This window comes from Homo sapiens, chromosome 3, assembly GCF_000001405.40.
Source record: "Homo sapiens chromosome 3, GRCh38.p14 Primary Assembly".
Taxonomy (NCBI): Eukaryota; Metazoa; Chordata; class Mammalia; order Primates; family Hominidae; genus Homo; species Homo sapiens.
Genome location: NC_000003.12, coordinates 8,804,760 through 8,827,997, shown reverse-complemented (window position 1 = coordinate 8,827,997; position 23,238 = coordinate 8,804,760). Strand labels below are relative to the sequence as shown.

Here is a 23,238-nt window from a genome sequence, read left to right as displayed (position 1 = left end):
ATCAGGGACCATCTGCACTATGGATGTTCCACTGATGGAGCTGATTAGCATAGGGTTTCTCAGTCTCTGCACCATGGACATTTCTGAGTGAGTAATTCTTTGTTGTGGGGGCTGTCCTGTGCATTGTTGGATATTTAGTGGCATCCCTAGCTTCTGCCCGCTAGATGCCAGTTATGTCAATAAAATTGTCCCTAGAATTGCCAAATGTTCCCTTATGGGGGTTGGGGAGGGGTTGCAAAATTCCTTTCAGTTGAGAATCAGTAATTTAACATATAGTGTAGAGGTCAAGTTTCATTTATTTTCTCATATGTTGCTCAACTGAAATTTTTTTTTTTTTTTTTTTGAGATGGGGTTCTGCCATATTGGCCAGCCTGGTCTCTAAATCCTGACCTCAGCTGATCCACCCACCTGGGCCTCCCAAAGTTCTGGAATTACAGGCATGAGCCACCACGCCTGGCCTGCTCAACTGATTTTATTTCTTCCTTTATCATCTTTATACCTTTTATTTATTTTTCTTTATTGCACTGGCTTGAACCTCAAGTACAATGTTGAATAGAAATGATGATCAGGGGAAAACTCCATCTTTCATCATAAATTTAATTTTTTTTACAGTGGGCTTGCTGAAAATATCCATTATCTCATTCAGAAAGTTATCTTCTATTCCTCATTTGTTAGGAGTTTTTTTTTTTAACTAACTAATTGTTGATTTTTTAAAAAATGCTTTTTCTGTATCTATGCAGATAATCACATGAATTCCCCTTAATTAAGTTAATGTTGTATTGAAAAAATATGTTATATTAATTGATTTTCCAACATAAACCCAATAACTAAGGTCTTGGATTATATTATCTTCTTCCTCCGGGGAAGTCCACCTGACTCACAAAAGTGTCAAGAGCACTGTTTGGACTCTCAGACTGTCAGCCTCCTCTTCTAGAATTAACAAATTACCTGGGGGGAAAGTAGCCTCAAATTCTTGGATTATATCTTCTTTTAAAGCATGACCTGGTTATCCTTTCTGCTTTATTCATCCTCTGAAGGCTTCAAACATTTTCTTTATTAAAATATTTATTTAAAAATAATTATTATTGTTGTCATTATTATTGTGTTTAGCTTTTGTAGCTGTTCTCAGTGGAGAGGTTGGTCTCAATGATCTGATCAGTCATTACTAGAAATAGAAGTTTCTTTTCTTAGAGAAATAAATATCAAGTATACAAAGTACACAAAGAAAAAGAAAACATATATATATATATCCATCTGTACTATAATGTGTTATTATATATTATAATCAAACAACCTATGCATCACCACGTAGGTTAAGAATAAAACATTTAATGGCATGAACCCGGGAGGCGGAGCTTCCAGTGAGCCAAGATTGCACCACTGCACTCCAGCCTGGGCGACAGAGTGAGACTCCGTCTCAAAAAAAAATAAAAATAAAAAAAATTTAAAAAAAAAATAAAACATTTAAAATTTTGTTATTATCATTTCAAAATTGTTTTTATTTAAGAAAGAAAATTATCACTTCTTCTAAGAAGAAACCTCTATGTGTCCCGCTCTGATTACATTTTTCTCTCTCTGCCATCACTAACTTTTAGCTTCATTTTTGTGTTCAGCTTTCCTTGCTCTTCTTTACAGTTTTAGAACCTGTACTTTATTCCCAATTATATTGTTTAGTTTTGTCTGTTTTGGAGCAGTACATAAATGACATCTTCTAAGTGTATGCTTTTGTGTCTCCATTTTTTTTGCTCAAGGTTATGTTTTTTAAGTTTATCCAAGATGATGTTTATTTTCCCTGCTCCATAGTTTTCCACTGATATTCAGTGTATTTTTCCATTTTACTGTAGATGGACATTTGTATTTTTTCTGGTTTTCATGTATTATAAACTATAGATACATATAATATAAACAATATAGTAGTGAATGTTCTTCTACACATTTCTTGGTGTGCAAGAAGGGTTATAGGATATACATATCTTCAATTTTACTTAGTCATACAAACTCTTTTCCAAAGTGATTGTACCAATTTACAATCTCAAAGCAGTGTGTGACTTTCTATTGTGCTATAATATTGCTATCACTTGGTATTGACTTTGCCAAAATGGTGAGCATGAAATAATTTACGTTGTGTATATCTCTGATGTCTGTTGAGGGTTGAGGTTGCATATTTCTTCGTATGGGACCAAAAGCCTTTACTTTTCTCTGAAATACTTGTTCTTTTATCTTGCTCATTTTTTTTTGACCGGGCTATGTATTAGTCAGGGTTCTCCAGAGAAACAGAACAAATAGGAGATACATAGGGAGAGATTTATTGTGAGGAATTGGCTCACATGTTTACAGAGACTGAAATGTCCCATGATCTGCTGTCCACAAGCTGAAGACCCAGGAAAGCTGGTGGTGTAATTCCATTCTGAGTCCAAAGGCCTGAGTACTAGGAGAGCTGATAGTTTTATACTAGTCTATGGGCAGGAGAAGGCAGTTGTCTCAGCTCAGTCAAAGACATTAAGCAAAAATTCCTCCTTCCTCTGCCTTTTTTGTTTATCTAGGCTCTCAATGGGTTGAATGATGCCCACCAACATTGAGGAGGCAATCTACTTTACTGGGTCCACTGATTCAAATACTAATCTTATCTTGGAAAACCCTCACAGACACACTCAGAAGCAGTGTTTGGTCTGGGCACCCCATGGTGCAGTCAAGTTGATACATAAAATTAACCATTGTGGGCTATTTGCTTTTTTTCTTAGTGATTTCTAGGAGCTGTTCTATATTCTAGATAAGGGCTTCTCAACAGAACTTTCTGTGATGATAGAAATGTTCTCTGTCTGCACTGTCCAATATGGTAGCCACTAGCCACATGCTACTGAGCATTTGAAACTAGTGCAGCAGAGGAACTAAATTTTCAATATTATTTTTAGTGTGTTTATTTATTTATGTATTTATTTTGAGATGGAGTTTTGCTCTTGTTGCCCAGGCTGGAGTGTAGTGGCGCGATCTTGGCTCACTGCAACTTCTGTCTCTCAGGTTCAAGTGATTCACCTGCCTCAGCCTCCCAAGAAGCTGGATTACAGAGGCATGTACCACGACACCCAGCTAATTTTTTTATTTTTGGTAGATATGGGGTTTCACCATGTTGGTGAGGCTGGTCTCAAAATCCTGACCTCAGGTGATCCACCCACCTTGGCCTCCCAAAGTGCTGGTATTACAGGCGTGAGCCACTGTGCCCAGTCTATTTTTAGTTTTAATAGCCATATATCTAATAGCTGCCATCTTGGACAGCAGAGGTCTAAGTAACAATTATTTGTTGGCTTTAAGTTTTGCAAATGTCTTCTCCAAGTTTGTGAACTGTCTTTTCACTCCTTTCAAGTTGCTTTTGATGAACAGAAGTCCTTAATTTTAATGTATTGAATATTATTAACCTGTTCCTTTACAGTTGGTGTATTTATATATCTTGTTTATAAAATCCTTTCTCATACTTTCTTATCTTAGTATATTTTCTTATACTGAGGTCTGAGGAACTGATTTTTGTGTTTATAATTTTCTTCCCTCATGAGTCATCAGTTTTCCTAGCACAGTTTACTGAATGAGCCTTCTTTTCCTCACCAATCTGCAGGACTGCCTGTATCAATCAGGGTACTGGCGAGAAACAGAAGGCACACTCAAACATTAACATTAAAGAGAGTTTAAAAAAGGCAGTATTTACAAAGGAGAGGCTGAGGTAAGGGAAACTAATAGGTGATGAAGCACCTATTAGTGAAGCATCACTAATAGGTGATGAAGCAGTTTCAACTGGCAAGAGCTGAAACCCTTACCACTTCTAACCTTGAGAGTCAAGGAAAGGCAGGAGTTACTGGACCCAGAGGGAGGAGTGGAGGAAGACCTCCAAATAGAAGGGGAGACTTCCACAGAGAAACATACCAATCACCTTGACCCAGGAGAGACAGAGTTGGCCAGAGGACTAAACACCTGTCTGCTCAACCTCATGCTGTCCCTCCTGTAGATTTGGTGGTAAATCCACCATAACCCAGCTGGAAGCCAGAGGGCAGGGAACCCACCAATGCAGGCCACAGAGGTCTGCTCTGGAGTACAGAACTGAGTGGAGCAGGTTGGAGACTGCATCTGGGTGAACAAATAAACCATCAAGCACACCTGCATGGTTATAAATCTATTTTCCATAAATGCATGGGTAGGTACAAGATCTCTCTCCATACTGTGCCACTGATCTATTTGCAGCACTCCACGCTGCTTTAAGTATTAAAGCTTTAAATATATTTTCATATTTGAGAGGGCAAGAATCATCACCTTGTTTTTCCTCTTCAGGAATGTCTTGGCCATTCCCTGCCTTTTGTTCTTCCATTTATATTTCAGAATCAGCTTGCCAGTATTCATGAAGAACTCTGTTGGAATTGTGACGGGAGTTGCAATGAGTCTCTAGATCAATTGGAAGAGAGCTGACATATTTACAATTCCTTCCACGGATAGGGTTTATGTCTCCACATACTTAGGTCTTATTTAATATATTTCTTAATAAGGTTTTATCATACTCTCTATAAAGAGCTTCCTTTTTTTGTTATTTTTTTTCTAGGTACCTATTTTTGTTGCTATGGTAAATATCTTTTTTTTTTAAATAAAAAAGTCACTTTTTGCCTGATGCTTGTATATAAAAATGAAATTATTTTTGTCTATTTTGGACTGAGCAACCTTACTAAATTATCTTAGTAATTCTAATGATTTACCTGAGAGTTCTTTGGAGTTTTCTTTGCAGACAGACGTATTATCTGCAAATAATGATAGTGTTGTTTCTTCCTTTACAATCCATATATCTTTACTTTTTAATCTTCTGTACCATTTAGGACTTCTAGTTAAGTGTAGAATAGAAGTTGATATTAGCATACATCCTTAACTTTCAGGCTCCTGATTTTCAGGGGAATGCTTTCAATATTTCAACATTAATTATAATGCCCTCTGTAACTTCTTGTAGAAGCACTTTATCACGTTAATCAAATGCCCCCTACTATTTCTAGGTTAAGTGTTTTTGTTTTTAACATGAAAGTAAGTCGAATTTTATTAAATGCTCTTACTGCATTAATTGGGGTTATCATAGGAGTTTTCTTCCAACCGCATTTGGAATAGTCCAATTTCTAATTGCTAAATTCCTACCCAGTTTTCAAGGGTAGGATCATTCCCCACTCCCCATCATAAGGCATCCCTTTTCCTCTCCCTTTATTTCATAGTCCCTTTGTAGAAGGAAATCATATATTCACTTATGCATCCCCCAATGCCCAGCACACAAGCACATAGTAAATGCTAACAAAATGTCGGTTGAATTATGGAGCGAGTCATTCTTGTGGCACTTTATAGCTTTGATTTTATACTTTCATATCCACGTTTCTTTTCTCGCCTCTGGACTGGAAGCTTTAGAGGACAGAGTCCACATCTGATGATTCTCGTTATTCCTCTAGGACACAATCCAGGGACTGATTCAGAACCTTGTTCACCAATAGATGATTCCTTGCTTTCCTTGGTAAACTCCATCATCAAAACCATCCAACCAGTCTTCCAGGAGTAGCCAATCTCTCTTCATAGTCCGCTCTGCAGAGAGAGAGGTTTATTTCACTCTCACCCTCAGGGAACCAGGCCAGTTCTGATGACTAAGGGCAAAATAATTTGCTCCTTTGCTGAGATTAATTTCTAAAAAATGATTTTGCAATAGCCTGGGCTTGACTGGCCAGGGGTGAAGGAAGGAGAAAGAAGCCATAAAGAGCATTTCTTCCCTCTAATGAAACTGAACCAAGGACAGGACAATAAGCCAGGGAGTCAGCCATTGATGGGTCTTTACTCAGCCCTTACTTTGTTCCCGGCCCTATTGCTAGGCATTGTAGAAGTGGGAGAGACATGCTGGCCTCTTTCCTGAATGCTTGGAATTTATTTTTCACCTTGGAAACAGAAATTTCACATTTGACAAGTTAAACAATACGACAAGGCCGTCTGTTTACTCATTCATCCATTTATTCTTCCGTTCATTTATTCATATAGTGTTAAACAATACGACAAGGCCATCTGTTTACTCGTTCATCCATTTATTCTTCCATTCATTTATTCATGTAGTATTTCAAAGCCTCTGCCATGTGGTAGGTATTGTGCTAAGCACTGGGGAATTCAGGGTTGAAGAGATGCCTCCCCTGGCCTTAGGCTGAATAAGGGAGTTGGTTAATTAAACAGCTCCAGTACCGTGTGATATATGTGGTGGTCAAGGTATGTTTTCAAGCACTGAATTGGGGAACAACAGGATACAGGGACTCTCAGAGGGAGTAATGAATGGATTATCAGAGGACATGAATTTGGTGTAGAAGTTTATTATCAGGATAAGAGAGAAGGATATATGAAAAGTTGGGGCGACATGGAGAGCACAGGAAGTTTGGAAGATGATGACTGGCATGACTAGAGTTCAGGGACAGGATGGAGGATGAGAAGGAAGAAGGCCAGGAAGGCAGGCAGGGACCAGGCCCTTAACTCACAGTGAGAAGTTGTGGGAGCCTTCACCTCAGGGCATCAGAAGTCATTTAAACATTTCAGCAGGGAGTAATGTGATCTGATTCGTGTTTTAGGTTCCAAAAGGTCAGAGCAGAGAGAATGGATAGGGAGAGCGGAAACTGGAATGAGGAAGGCAAATGAAGAAGAGTGTTTGAGCTGGGACTTGAAGGATGCACAGGATTGACTGAGTAAGGATGAGAGGGTGTGGCATCCCAGGCAAAAGGGATGGCAAAACTTCCAGTATAGAAATTGGGAAGCAGTGGGAGGTCAAGGTACCAGTGAAGAGATCAGGCTGATTAGAATCCAAGGAAGGTCATAAAGTTTGGAAGTGGGTGGCACGCATTAGGGGGACATCTGGGGGCTCAGAAGCCTGTAGAACCAAGTGAAAAGGGGTCCAGCAAAGATTCCAAAATCTTAGAAATTGGAGATAAAGCAGTGGGTAGTGGGAAGAGATTAGCTGGAGATGAAAAAACCTAGATTCTAGACTCAGCTCTGTCACTAACTTGCTACATGAGTTTGAGCAAATTATTTCTCCTCTCTAGGTCTCGGTTTTCTCACTTATAAAATGAAAGTGCTGGCCTAGATCTCTTCTAGCACTGGTGATTTAGGATGCCAAGCACTAGCCTCTATCCTTCCATTCCCAAGTGTGTTTGCATTTGCCCCAGGCCATCTCAGACCGTGCTCACTGCCTCACTGCAGCCTGCCAAGCTGCATCTCAGCCAGAGGAAGCAGAATTAGTGGATGAGACAAAACAAGACAAAAATACGCATAATATAAACCCTCAAAGAAGGAAGGAAGGCTGTTAAAGCATGAGGCAGGGAGAACCAGTGATGAAGATAATTAGGAAAACCTAATTATTGGAATAACAGACTCAATATATAGGTTGCACAACAGAAAGGAAAAGCTGAAGAATAGTATATCTGTTAGCTTTTGCTGTGTAACAAACCACTGCTAAACTTACTGGCCATTTATTACTGCTCATTGTTCACATGTCACATAAGCACTGCTGTTGAGCTGGTCAGACACAGTTGATCTCAGCCTTGCTCATGCATTTGTGGCTGGCTGGAAGGTCTGCTGGGGGCTAGCTGGTTTGGGATCATCTCATTCACGTGTCTGACAATTGTCTGGATGTCAGCTGGGACAAAGGAGCTGACTGGGTCACATGTCTTTTAAGATTATTCAGTATGCACACCAGGGCTTGTCTACATGGTGCTATGTTTGAATGTGTCCCCTCCAAAATTCATGTTGAAATTTGATCCCCGTTGTGGTGGTCTTATGAGGTGGGGCCTTTGGAAGTTGATTAGACCATTAAGGCCCCACTCTCATGAATGGGTTAATGACCTTAGGAAAGAAGGTTTTAGAGAGTTTGCCTTCCACCAGATGAGGACAAACAAAAAGGTACCATCTTGAAAGCAGAGAGCAGCTCTCACCAGACACCAATGGGAGCACCTTGGTCTTGGACTTCCAGCTTCCAGAACTGTGAGACATAAATTTCTATTGTTTCTAAACTACTGAGTCTGTGGTATTTTATCATAGCAGCTTGAACAACTAAGACATATGGTGGTATCAGGATTCTAAGAGAGAGACTGGAAGTGTACAAATGGTCAGAATATGTCACAAGGCCAGCCAAGAGTCAAGGATGGGGAAATAGATTCCATTGATGATGCAGAGTAGCACTACAAAATGGCATAGACAGAGGAAGGAATGAGGGATTGTGGAAATTTTTTCCCCAATTTATTAAATTGAATTCTCTGGCCGGAGTTATTCACATTCTTCCCAAATGCAAATATACCTACTCCCATTCCAGTACCCCACAAAATTCTCACTGAACTATGACATCAAACTTGGAGTCAAGCTTGGATCTCATGATCTCTCTCAGTTTCCAATGAGACTTTTCAAATGTGGCTCCTCTTCACTTGAAGACCCCTGAATGAAGAAGATAAGTGACTTGACCCACACCTCACTAAAACACATTGGTGAGACAGGTAAAGTGTAGATGTAATGAAAACTTTTATTCAGAAGGGGGAAATAAGAAGCAAATAACACTCACTGGTCTATAGCACTACTGAAATCCAGCTGGGCTAATATTAACAGGTTTTCCTACTGAAGAGGAGGAAATATTCCTTGATTAGACCTAAACTCTGCTCCGTGGGAGTGACTTCTCAGTCTGTTTTTTACCTCTGTCTTTTGAGGCCACTTTTTGGGATTACCAAGACTGGCCTCATTTGCAGCTGGGTAGCTTTCTCAATTTGATTCCTTTCTGTAGAAAGTTGGGGACCAGAAGCCCTCTTATATTTGAGCCACCTTAGATTTCAGTCCACATCTTAATGTAGGCTGGTAGCACTTTTACATATTCAGCTCCATTAAAAACCATGTGGGTTTCCTATAAATCTGATTCAAGTCCAACCTATTTGACAAAAGTCATGCCAATTTTCTTTGAGATATGACCCTCTCTTTAGACTTATTCACAGCTACTTTGGGTTTGTCCAGACAGCTATAAGATGATGTCCTTAAAGTTCCTAGAATTTTTTTTTGTCTAGAATAAAGGGTCTACTTAAGATGCAGTAACTTAATTCTGTTGATTTTAACAAAGGATGTCTGTAGGGAAAATTGCACAAAGCTTCCCCGGGCTTGAAAACTACCTGCCTGGATCATGACAGTTCCTTTGGCCATTACTAAGGAGCCATGGTGTTCAAAGCAGGCTCTTCCTACGGACAGGCAGTATAAGTATTGCCTATGAAGTGTGCTAAGAGAGGAACCAGGAAGATTCCACCTCAGACTCAAAAATCTTTTTTATTTCTCCCATTCCTTAAGTTCCTTCAATGTAGATGGATTGCTTTTGGTCAATTGCATCAATTGCATTAATCTGTCACAGAGGGTCTATCATGCATGGCCATTGTCATGGATAAAGTACCTTAATTACTTTGCTCAGTGCCTTGCCCTTAGAAAGTGCTCAGGATATCTTAGTTCCCTCCTCCCAGTTCATTCCTACTTTTCCTGAGGCTTCCGTCTTGCAATTTACGTTACACCACAGGAGGGAATAGAGTAAGGGTCTATCACCTCCATGTAAGTGAGTTTGTTGGTTGGTTCCTTGAACAAATATTTATGGAGTGACTACCCTGTGCCAGGCACTGGGACTATGTTCCTGAATGAAGTCCCTGCCTTTATGGAGCTTACAACAACGTAGGGGACAGAGAGACAGAAAATAAGTCAACAACCCATAAAATAATCACAGACTGTGATAACACTAGGATGGAAACAAGGTGGGGGGCTGAGACTGGGCAGCTGGGGAACCCTGTATGACTGATGATAGCTGCGAATGAGGAGGAGGGAAGGGAAGGCTGGAGAGGAATGAGAAAAGGAGGCTGAGGACAAACAGGCTTCCTGTGCCTCCTCCACGATTTTGCCCCATGACTGTGGAAAGGACACTTTAGTTCAAGTAAACACATAAATCTGGAGAAATATGATCTGTCATAGCAAATGCAACACATTTAGTCAGGATTCCCTCAAGGATTGGAGCAATAGACTTGGGTGTCAGGAGCCCTCAGTTTTAATGCTAGCATAGCCCCCTATTCCCTGTGTGTCTTTGAGAGAGTCCCCTCCCTTCTCTGGACTCCTGGATCCTGGAGTCTATACTGAGTGGGTGGGACTCAGTGCTGTCTGACCACCTACGGCTTGATGAAATGACCAGCACCTTCCATGGGAGTTTTAGCATAGCTCCAGAAGGCTTATGGCTCTGTCATTGCTGCCCATAGCTGTTAGAATTCCTCCTTCTCTGCCCGGTTGTGCAATTCTCTGCCTCACTTCATTGGGTTCCAGCTCTAGGCCATCTTTTCTTTTAAGTGTTTAGTCAGAGCCCAGACAGTTGGCAATTCACAGTGCCCCTGGTGCAATGATGATTTGGCCTGGATGCTGTTCCAGAAAGTCATTGATAACTCTTAGTTCAATCAGAATGCTTGAGGAGTACCATGTTCTGTGCATTTAAAACATTCTTCTCCAAGAATAAGAACAAGCAATCAAAATACACATCAAAACAAAAGCCACCATTTATTTAGTGCCTACTATGTGTCAATGAGCTAAGATCAGTGCATTTCATTCTTGCATCAGTCACAGGAAATTGCCACAATTTCATAGATTAGAAACTTAAGCTCAGAGACTTTAAACCAGCCAGGGGTGGAGGCATGATCCTGATCCATGAACATCCAACTCTGGAAGTCCAGTCTCTACCATCATGCTGTTTTACAATTCTTTTCACCAGCTGCATGGAAGAACAGCAGGAAGGCCAGGTAAGGGTGGGATCTGCCTCTGCCTGACTCTCCTTGTCTGAATCTTCCCTTTTTGCTGGGCTCCACCAGCAAAGGAGTGTTGCTATTTTGAGGTGACTTTCTCAAGCTCACCTAGCAAGCACTCCTGGGAAAGTATTACTCAACCGTATCTGTGGTCACAACCTCGAAGCTGATATCTCCTTTCCACTTTCCTAAAACCATCGAGTAAAGTAGAGACCCTGCTCTTCACATAACTTCCTATAAGTTGGTGACATAATTCATTTGAACTTCAAATACAGACCCTTAGATGGCACCATGGCCATGGGATGCAAGAAGTGAGAACCAACATGACAGGTGTGATTGTGCCGGGTCCCTTTAGGAATAAACCTCCCAAGAGCAGGGATGTTCAACCATCAGCCATCAGCCATCTCAATGATATATAATTCAAGCAACACTGTTACATTTATCTCTGCCTCTAGACCTTCGATCAATCATCTGTATACGTCATGGGGACAGGGCTTCCCAAGATATAGCCCTTTCAGCTGATAAGAATTGGATGTTGGGATATTTCAGTGACACAGAACTGCACTAGAGGAAGTTGAGGGGCACGACAGGGCTTGGGATTTGCTCTTCTAACAGCAGAATCATGTCTTCCAGCTCCGGAATCATTCCACGTCTCCATTCTCTTAACCCAATGTCAGCTGCATCCAAGGCTGGTTTTGCTCTCGGTCAGAGGACAGCGGCCAATGGCAGCAGGGGCTGTACTCTTAGACGAAAGACTGTTTTTCAAGGTTTTATATTAAGAGACTTAGAAATCCCCCAGGAAGCTTTTCCTTGGACTTCATTGACCAGAAGATTAATAGACTCTCCATTGTGGTTTACAGCAGTCAAAGCCCACACATCTTCCCTGAGTCACTCATGAGTGATATTGAGAGGTTAAGACCTGAACACATTCAGGCTTCGGTAAGGATGGAGTAAGATGGCTGCCAAGAGGCAGCCAACAGCGTCCACAGTTCAATTCCCTGCTGGTCTAGTTATAGAAACTCCAAATTCCTGAACTTAGATTCTTTGGACCCGCACATGAGCTTATTAATTAACCTGTGATTCTGTGGTGTGCAGTAGCTTGTTCTGAAATTTGGGTACAGGGTGTGAGGGTCAGTTCACCATAGCCCAGGCAGATAGAGAGGAAATGACGTGGTGAGCTGGGGCTTGGGACAATATCCAGAAGGGCAGGACAGGCACTTGGACACATTTTTCTCAAAGCTTAGGTCTTAGTTCCTCTGAATTAGAATCACATGACTGTGGGGGGGAGTGAGATGGGGTGGGACAGACCTTACAACATAGATTCATAGACCTTTTGTTCAGACTCTCTGGGGCGAGGGTCCAGGAAGTTGCATGATTGACAGGCTCTCTGGGTGATTCTTAAGCACCCTGGAGCAGAGCTTATGCTGAGCTGTAGAGACTGACTCTGGAAATATAACTAAGAGGGTAAGTCCAGGGCAGGAGTCTTCATCACAATTCATCAAATAGTTGGTATTTGGGGTCCAAGGTGAGGGAATTGGTCCCAATATAGTGACAAAGAATTTAAGCTGGGTTGAATTGTCCTGGGTCAGGCCAGGCAGTGAGCGATGATATTTATTCATTGCATTTTTCAACCAACATTTATTCAAGCCCCTTACATGATAATCCCTGAAGATACAGATCAAAAAGTCCCTGTTTCAAAGAGTCCCAGTGCAGTGTGTTGGGGAGATGCAGACAAGTGGACAGGTATTCACATTACATGACAAGGGTCATGGTGACACACAGGGGCTCTGGAAGCACTCAGGAGAGGCCTAGTCCAGTCTAGTGGGGTGGATTAACTTCCTGGGCCTGCAAATTAACAAGCTATTACAGACCTGGTGGCATAAAATCACAGAAATTTATTCTTACACTTTTGGAGCCCAGAATCTGAAATCAGTTTCACTGGGTCAAAATCAAGGTGTCAGGCCTCCCTCCAGAGGCTCCAGGGGAGGATTTATTCCTTGGTCTTCCAGCTTCTGGTGGCAGCCAGCACTCCTTGGCTTATGGCTGCATCACTCCAGTCTCTGCCTCTATGGTCACATTGCCCCCGCCTCTTCTGTGTCTACTCTTTTCCACCTTCCTCTTACGTGAATACATGTAATTGCATTTAGGTCCCAAGTGGGTAACCCAGGATAATCTCCCCGTCACAAGATCCTTAATCACATCTGTAAAGCTATTTTTGCCCTTTAAGGTGACATTTACAGGTTCATGGATCAGGAACTAGATATCTTTGGGGGATGTTATTTAGTCTACCACTGGGGGCAAGGGGAAAGGAGGCTCTTGACATGAGTCAATAAGGAGAAGTAAGAGGTAGCCCCATGCAGTAGATAAGAAAGAACATTCTAGAAAGAGCTAGAGCATGCACATAAGCGCCCAGATCTGGGAACTGCGAATAGGTTTTATGAATGGAGGCTCACAGCACAGAGGAAGGGTGCTGAGGTGCGAGAAGAGGTGGAGGAGGTGGGCTAGGGTCAAAGGATGGAGCTCCTGGGGCGTGGGCTATGGTCCACAGCTCATGGGGAGTCATCAAAGGTGTGTGAGCACATGAGTGACAGCAGCAGACTTGCATTCTGCCTGTGCTGTGGAGAATGGATTCCAGGGGGACCATTCAGTAGGATATTGCAGTGGTGCTAGGTGGAATATAGTTAGACCTGAACAAAGCAGGTGAATCGAGACAAGTGGAAGGATCTGATTGGTGGGGAGAATCAACACAAGACTCCCAGGTGTCTGACATCCATGGATAAAAAGGGGCCCCTGAGGGAGCATCTGGGAGAGGAGGGGACGGATGAAGCCTTGCCCAATGGACATGTTGATTTGAGGTGTTCATTATGGGTCGCCAGGTGTCTGGGAAGCAGAGGAATGTATGGGCCTGGAAACAAGGAGAGGAATCTGGGCTGGAGACTTGGATTCGGATGCCCACACATGTAGGTGGTAGGTAAAGCTGTGGCTGTGAATGTTGTCATCTCAGAAGACAAGGAGTAAGGGGATGGATTGACAAAAAAGGCCTTCACAAGGGAGACTGGAAAGATACAGCTGTGGAGGCAGGAGAAGTCTCAGAACTTAGGGCTTAATACAGCGTGCATGGCTGGGATCTTTGCATTTTAAAGAGAGATTGGGGAAAGGATAGTGCTAACACCAATAGCGCTAGGTTTGTAATGGTGAAATCTGGGGGCTCTGTGGGAGGAATATAGGGTAACTGCCTATACACATGACTTAAATTGTGTATACAGGCAGTTACCCTGTCTGTTTGCTGGCCCAGCCAGTTGTCAGCTTGTTGGCAGCCTCTGTGATACCTGAGTGCCTGTTTGGGACTCAGGGAGGCCCCAGTAGCATCAGGAAGCCAGCTGCACTTGTTGTTGACTCTTAGCACGCATTATACACCAACAGCATGGCTGAAGTAGAATCCAGGGTTGCAGGATGGGCAAAGAGAGAGCCATCTATGCTTCTCAAATGTCTTGTGGCTATTGGACCTGTGAAGTAAGCCTCTTCCCAGAGTCCTTTTCTGTTTCTGCTCCTCCTTATCTCACAGGAATGTTGAGGAATTCAGAGTTTCAGATTGCTAAAGCAGGTACTTAGGTGAGCAATCTGAGATCCAGAGGGTGGAAGTTCTTTCTTTCAGAGGAGCTGGTACTGATTATGTGACAGCCTTGAGTCCCCCCATCAGAGCCCACTGGTGTCTTCTTCAGGGTCTGGTCTCTGGTACTGAGATGATGATCACAATTATTAACAATGACATACTTGCTTTCAGTTTTTTTTTTTTTTTTTTTTTTTTTTGATGGAGTCTCGCTCTGTCGCCCAGGCTGGAGTGCAGTGGCCCGAACTCAGCTCACTGCAAGCTCCGCCTCCCAGGTTCACGCCATTCTCCTGCCTCAACCTCCTGAGTAGCTGGGACTACAGGAGCCCGCCACCACGCCTGGCTAATTTTTTGTATTTTTTAGTAGAGACAGGGTTTCACCATGTTAGCCAGGATGGTCGCGATCTCCTGACTTCGTGATCTGCCCGCCTCGGCCTCCCAAAGTGCTGGGATCACAGGCGTGAGCCACCTCACCAGGCCAACAATAACATACTTTCTTACCATCTTAGGAGGGTCTTTATACCTTCATATTTGCTCAATCTCCAAACCCATCTGATAAGTATGAAAAATGCTGTTTATAGCTGAAGAATCAGGCTCAGGATCAGGGATTTGTCTAAGACCCAGGCCCAGAACACAGGTCCTCTTGACTCTAAATCCCGCGATCCTCCCCATCCCTGTGCAGCTCTACCACAGGGTTGCAGGGCTCCGGGTTGCAAGGCCCAGTGCTGATGACACCTGGATGGCTTGCTGGAGACTCCAGGACCATGCTACAGGCTGTTGAGAACTGCTGGGCACCTGCCAGGTGGCTCTATCAGAAAGTGGGGAAGCCCCACAGAAAGGCAGGGAGGGGCCACAAACACAGACGACTTCCCACCTTTGTTTTGGACCAACTCTGGGCTATCTGACAGAGCAGAATGCTTTGCTGCAGCTGAGAACATGTTTCTCGGCCTTAAGAAATAAGCTCTTAAGCTTTCAGCTTTTAAAAATGTAAAGCAAGTAATGCATTCAACAGACATCACCCCATCACTGAGGTCTTCCCTGTCATCCGTCCCTAAGTCTCAAACCATCCATCTTTGAGCCTCCGTGGAGCCTGACCATTGCTTGCCCAAATCCGGAGCCTCAGCCTGGCACATACATAAACCCTTCCCTTACCCCTACCCAAAGATGAAGGCTCACTCTTCTTGTACCTTGCCCATTCTTCACCACAGACCTGATCTGTCCCTACCAAATCTTGAGCCTCATCCCAGCCTTGACACTAACTGCATCCCTTACCCAAATACTCACCTTCAGTCCATATCAGACCCCATCTCATCCCTCACCCCATACCCAAATCTACCACCATGCCTCACACCAACAATCCGTCCCTTACCCAAACCCCAAGACCTAACTGTACCCCCATTACACCTTAATTTCATTCTTGAGCCTCGGTGCTAGGGGTGAAGGGGGTTATTGCACACATCACCAGGAAATTTCAGAAATGCCCAAAGGTTAATCATTTCTTTTTGAGGCTCTCAAAATAAGTGTGGCTATCACTTTGTCCAAGAGTCAAAGTGGCTGCATTAAAACAACACTGCCCAAAACTGAGGCCAAGGTGTGAGAAGACACTGTGCAATCTCCCTCTGCAGTCCTGTTGTTCTCAGATCAGAAGGAGAGAGTTGTTTTGCGTTCAGTAAATTCAGTCACCATGTGAGTACTACGAATGGAGCCTGAGACAAGTGCAGTCATTATTTTGTGTAATGACATGGTGTTGGAGCCACCGCTGAGAAGGAAAATGCAGGCACAAACCATCCATCTTTTCAAGCAAATGAGAAAGGTTCATTTTTCAGATCTGCTACTGTTCCTTAGGAACTTGGTATTTTCTATCCTTCCAATTGCTCATTGGATTGTCTTCCCTATGCCTTTCTAAATGATTGACTTTCCAAAGTGCTTTGGCTCCCTGAAAAATGAAAGGGGTCTGGAAATATCAGGTGTGTTATAATTACCTCTGGCAGCACCATTGGGTAGGCCAGGCGACTCTCATCTCAACGTGTCTGCATTAACTCTAGCCATCTTTCTTTGGAAAAATGTCAGCATGATTAGCAATGGCTCCCACAATGAATTGGAGGGAAAAAAATCACCAGTCATTATATTTTTTTAAATGAATTTTTCTTTTTTTGTATCAGCCCCAAGTTAGAATTTTAATTTGCAGAAACTCCCAAGAAATTTCAGTCAGTGTTGTAGTTAGACCAAAGCTTGATTTAGGTTGGCACATTAAAACTCACTCCTGCTTTTAAAGTGCTGTACACTTTCCAGAATAATGATGCTATCCATCCCTCACAATATCCCTGTATGGAAGGCACTGTTACCTGCTTTTCACAGATGAGGGAATGGAGGCTCAGGGGCTTCAGTGACTTGTCCAGATAGGGGAGGGTTTCTGGTGCCCCATCTCCTGAGCACGGACCTGCACTCTTGCCAGCATGGTGCTGACTGCCCTGGGGAGGGCAGCTAAAGCCCACGAAGGCCTGGGTGACATGTCAGGTATGACTGCCCTGGAAGAGGCAGTGTAGATATCAGCCAGGACATGATGACAAACTTAGAAATTCAGTTCACTTTGCTATTACCAAATATCTAGAGGCTTCATGTGATGCCAACTGAATATCCAGATTTTTGACCCACTTGTTTTTTGTCTGGGTCATTGTTAATATGTGATCTTTTGTAACAGAAAGAGCCCCATGCTCGATCTCCATGATCTTGTTTAATTCTTGCAATAACACTTTGAGAGATAGATACAATTATCCTCATTTTACTAATAAGAAGTTAAATAACTTGCCTGAGATTGCACAACTTCGGGGCAGAGTCAAGATTTGAACCAAGATCTGGATTACTCTTACCCACTACAGTAAACCTATTCTCTGTAGGTCAGAAGAAAATGGAATTCTAGTTTGAGCTTTTTCTTTTTAGTTCTGTGTCCTCAGATGAGTTAACAAATTCATTGAATATTTATTGAGTATATGTTGTTTTTTTTTTTGTTTTGTTTTATTTTTGTTTTTTGTTTTGAAACAGGGTCTTACTCTGTTGCTCAGCTTGGAGTGCAATGGCGTGATCTCAGTTCACAGCAGTCTCCACCTCCTGGGTTCAAGCGATCTCATGTCTCAGCCTCCTGAGGGCTGGGACTAGAGGTGCAAGCCACCATTCCTGGCTAATTTTTGTATTTTTTGGTAGAGACAGGTTTCACTATGTTGGCCAGGCTGGTCTTGAACTCCTGACCTCAAATGAGTCCACCTCGGCCTCCCAAAGTACTGGGACTACAGGTGTGAGCCACCATGTCTGGCTGAGAATACATTTTTAAACAACTGATGAGCAAGCAACTCAGTTGCAATGACTGACAAACAAGTAAATTCCTTCATCTCATGGATGAGAATCCATCCATAAACAAGTGAGTTGGGCAAGTTTTTCTCAAAGGTTCTTTCTAGAGCTCATATAGTATGAGTCTGTGATGTTGACAGTTTAGATTTGCAACAGAGTCGTGCCCAAATCTCTCAGATGTGCATCTCGGTTTTCACAATGTCAAAGGTGATCTCTCCCACACTTCAGAGAGATTCCCTGAATTCAGCACCTGTGAGAAGTTATTTATCTCCTCTATGTACTATTTTTATACAGCTACCTGATTTAATCCCTAACACCAAAAACTCGAGCTGTGTTATTATCATCTTAAAAATGAGAAAATGGAGACTTGGTGATTATAGCCACTTGCACAATGTCATAGAACTAATACAAGACAAAGCTGGGTCTTGACGTTAGAAGAATCAACACAACAGCTGCTGCAACCTAGCATGCACTGTGGGAGTAGCTCAGGCCCCTGGAGAAGCTGGCTTAGCCTGAGAATGCATCAAGCTCATTCACCCAAGCTTCTAGAAGCACCATTCAGAGACGTTTGGTGGGGTCACAGGTCACCTGCCTCCCCACAGACCATCTGACATTTGTCACACTAGATCTTTTTTATTCTCCTTGCGACCTTGTCTGTGAGTCAGCCCTTGTCATATGGTAAGACAGACTAGCAAGAAATGGAGCTGTCCAGGTGATCTTTTAGAACCTCTGAGATTCCTGCTGCATGACACAAGGATACTCAGTCTCCCTGAAGCCCACCTGTCTCGGGCTAAGAAATGAATGCAGCCTTCAGGAAACAAATGTCCCCACTACTTGAATGATGTCACTTGTATTTCCTGAAGTGTGACAGCCTCTCGCTCCTGACAGGTGGTCATTATGCCTCATCCTGGGCTACATCACTGTCCTTGTAAAGAAATGAGGTTGAAGCAAGTTTCTTCATTTCCACAGCTAAAGAGCTTCTGGATAATATCTCTGCCATGACTAAAACCATGCAGGGGAACAAAATAAGAGTTGATTTATCAAACATTCAGTAACTGAAAAAACAGAGTTGGAGAATCTATCAAATGACTACGTGGTAACCAATTCTAGCTAGTAGTTTAAGGTGGCTTTGTTTTCTGTTTGTAGCTAGAGGCCCAGAGGGAGGACCCTGAGCTCAGGAAGTGAGGATGCTGGTAACATAGCATCACACAGAAAAGAATGGAAAGGCCAGGCATTATTATTACGGCTGACCCCTTTCATTCTTTCTTTTACTTTCCAACTTCTTTCTGCCTGACTTCCCCAGGAAAGTCTTCCCATTTTCCTTCACTGTGAATCAAGAAGCAATTGTAATCATGGTCAGCACATACTATAATCATCAGGGTACAGACACTTATCAAGACAAGGGACGTGGCCATTTCACTTTGAAATCAAAGTGAAATCAGGTAATTCCTGAAAGTTCCCAGACTTTCCTCTTAGAAATATTGCCAAAAAAACTTCCTACTCATCCTGCTTTAATTACACACAACACAGTTCTTCATCAAGTGTCAATATTCATAAGTAGAAAATGAAGTCTTTTTCAACATTATTATGTTTCCAATGGATTTAGTTTCTACTGTGGTAAGAGCATTACTTTGCAAACATATTTGAACAAAATCCTATAGTATTTTGATGACCTTCTTCCTTCTAGCTTTTGTGGGCTAGCCTGGGCATCTGATGGACATTTAGGACATTACTTCCTGTGGACACTGGGTTCTGCATTCAACCAGCCAATTTACAAATGATTCTTTGGAATATAGCTTATCTGCTGTTGTGTGTAGAAAAATAAAATTGTCATCTCAGTTTCTCGATGTGGAAATTAAGAAATAAAATCTGGAGTGTTGGAGCTCTTGTACCAATGCAGTGGCAGCTATTCCTTTTCCCTTCTTTCTCTGAACACCAACAGGGAGAAGCCACCTGCCCATCTTTGCTGGTCTTCTCGGCCAGTTCTTGTGTCTTCACTGAGAAGGAGCTGTGACTGGAGGCAGAGGCCAGGCCCATTCACTGTTTTTAAATGGAAATATAACTTACATACAGCAAATCATATACAACTGAAATGTACAGCTCAATGAAATTTTGCAAATTTATACAGCTATGTAACACAATCTACATCAAAATGTAGAATAACACAGCATGGCAGCAGGTTTCCTCCTCAATCCCGTGCCAGTCAATACCCTCCGCCCCAGTGGTAGCCCGCTATTCTGACTTCTTTTAACATAGATTAGTTTTTGGTCCACTTACTTAGAAAACTTTCTTAGGTTGAGGTATAATTGAGAAACAGTAAATTGTACAGATCTTAACTGTTAACTTTAATGAGTTGTGACAACATATACCTGTGTAACCAGTGCCCAGAACAAAATGTAGAACATCTCCATCACCATTGGCAATTCCCAATGCTCCTTCCAATAAATCCTCATCCCTTTTTGTTTTGACAGGGTCTCACTCTGTCACCCAGGCTGGAGTGCAGTGGCATGATCTTGGCTCACTGCAACCTCCACTTCCTGGGTTCAAGTGATTCTTGTGCCTTAGCCTCCTGAGTAGCTGGGATTATAGGCACCCACCACCACACCTGGGTCTTTTTTTTTTTTTTTTTTTGTATTTTTTGTTTTCTTCGTAGAGATGGGGTTTCACTATGTTGGCCAGGCTGGTCTCGAACTCCTGACCTCAAATGATCCACCCACCTCGGGCCTCCCAAAGTGCTGGGATTACAGGCGTGAGCTCTTCCTTTCCTTAGCAACTACTTCCTGATTTCAAACACTGTATAGTAGTTGGGCTTGTTCTCCGATTTCACATAAATAGAATCATCCAGCATGTGCTCTTTAGGGTCTGGCTTCATTCACTTGACATATAGACATATACGTATTTTTAGCTTCACCTACAGTGTTGCATGTATCAGTAGTTAATTCTTTTTTCCCACTAAGGAAAGTTTTTTTGGCTCCATTTCTTAGATTCAGAAGCTAACACCACAATAACAAAAATGTCAAATACATATAATTTGACCCCAATTGTTTAAAAAAAGCTCAAATATACACTTATACCACTGAGACAGGAAAAGATAAATACTGTGTACTAAAAAGTGCTCCTGGTAAACTCTAGACAGTGAGAGATTATGGATGATTGCTCTTCTTCTTTTTATTTTCTGAGTATTTCAGTTTCTACATTAGCATTTTTTTGCATTTTTAATTGTGGTAAAATACACATTTCAAGGATGTAATGTATAGTGCCTATTTCCGGACTTGCTAGTCTTTTCTATTGATTTATTTACCTATCCTTACACCAACATCACCCTATCTTGATTATTGAAGTTTTATAATGAGTCTTAAAATCAGGTAGTCAAAAGGCTTCCAAATTTGTTCTTCATTTTCAAAATTGTTTTGGCTATTTTAGATGACTTGCATGTCCACATACATTTTAGAACTAGTTTATCTATTTCTTCAAAAGAGATTGCTTATATGTGATATGGATTATGTTAAATCTATACATTAATTTAGGGAGGATGGAAATCTTAAACAATATTGAGTTTCCAATTTACGGACGTGCTATATCTCTCCACTTAGGAATATTTTAATTTTGCAAAGCAATATTTTATAATTTTCAGTTTATAGATCTCACATACCTTTCATTAGATTTATTCCTGGGTATTTTATTTTGGCTAGTGTTTTGATGCTATTGTCAGTGGTATTTGTTTTGTAATATAATTTTCCAATTCTTACTAGAATATTGAAATGTAATTTATTTTTGTACATTGATGTTACATCCTGAAACCTTGCTAAATTCACTTATTCTAGTAATTGTTTAATAGACTCTATATGATTTCTAAAACAGCTTGATTGAGACATAATTGACATACCATTTAATTCACCCATTTAAAGTGTGTTCTTATTATATTCCCAGAGCTGTGTGACTATCTCCACAATCCAGTTTTAGAACATTCTCATCACCCCCACAAGAAACCCTGTGTGATGAGGAGCAGTTAGGTCTCATCCTCCTCTCATCTCCACCTCACAGCCCTAGACAATCACCAATCTACTCTTTGTCTCTATGGATTTCTCTCTTCTGAACATTTCATATAAGAGCAATGATACAACATGTAGTCTTTTGGGGCATAATGTTTTCAAGGTTCCTACATGTTGTAGCATGTATCATTCATTTTTATGGCAGAATAACATTCCGTTGTATAGATGGAACAGATTTTATTTATGTATACATCAGTTGATGAGGATTTGGGTTGTTTCCACATTTTGGGTATTATGAATACTGTTGAATGAACATGCGTGTGCAAGTTTTTCTGTGGACATGTTTTTGCTTGCCTCATTTTTATCCTTTGAGGAACTGCCAGACTATTTTTCAAAGCAGCCATACTGTTTTGCATTCTCATTAGCAGTGTATGAGGTTCCAAATTTCTCCACATTCTTGCCAACACTTGTTATTATCTGTCTTTTTTTACTATATTATCTGTCTTTTTTTACTTTTTTTACTATATTATCTGTCTTTTTTTTACTACTTTTTTACCAGTAGAACCACCAGTTCTACTGGTGGGTGTGAAGAGGCTTTCACTGTGCTTTTGAATTACATTTCCTTGGTAGGTAATGACATTGAGAATCCTCTCATGTACTTTTTGGTCATTTGTATATTTTTTGTAGAAATGTCTACTCATATGTTTTGCTCATTTTTAAACTAGGTTATTTGCCTACTTATTATTGAGTTGTAAAAATTTTATTTTTTAAGAAGTATTCTGAAAGTTTCTTATCAGATATATGACTTGCAAATATAGTCTGTGGGTTGCCTTTTTACTTTCTTGATGACGCTCTTTGAAGCACAAAACTTTTAAATTTTGATGAAGTTCAATTTATCTATTTTTCTTGTTTGTGCTTTTGGTGTCATGCCTCAGAACCAGAGTTTTATACATATACAATCTTGTTGTCTATGAATAAGGCAGTTTTACTTATTTTCCCAATACTTATACCTCTTATTTATTTTTCTTGCTCACTTTCACTGGCTAGGACCTCTACTACAATGTAGAATAAAATCAATCAGAGCATATTCTTGCCTTATTACCAATCTTAGGGGAAAATACTTCAATATTTTATTATTAAGTCTGATGCTAGCTGTGTGTCCTCTATCATATTGAGGAAGTTCCCTTCTAGTCTGGCTTGCTGAATTTTCTTTTCTTTTCTTTTTAAATAGACTTTATCTTTTTAAAGATCAGTTTTAGTTTCACAGCAAAATTAAGAGAAATTTACACAATTTCCCATATGTTCTTGCCTTGACACATTCATAGTCGCCCGCATTTTCAACATCCCCCACCAGAGTGGTGCATTTGCTACAACTGATGACTCTATATTGACACATCATGATCATATCCAAAGACTATAGTTGGCATTAGGAATCACTCTTGGAGTTGTACATTTTATGGATTTGTATAAATGA

General features: G+C 41.4%; 1 long non-coding RNA gene across 1 annotated transcript; it reads left to right on the top strand.

Moving 5' to 3' along the window:
• Positions 1,480-19,667, top strand: LOC107986061 (uncharacterized). Its single transcript, XR_001740592.2, has 2 exons — positions 1,480-3,729; positions 3,766-19,667. It is a non-coding gene; the product is annotated as an uncharacterized LOC107986061 (long non-coding RNA).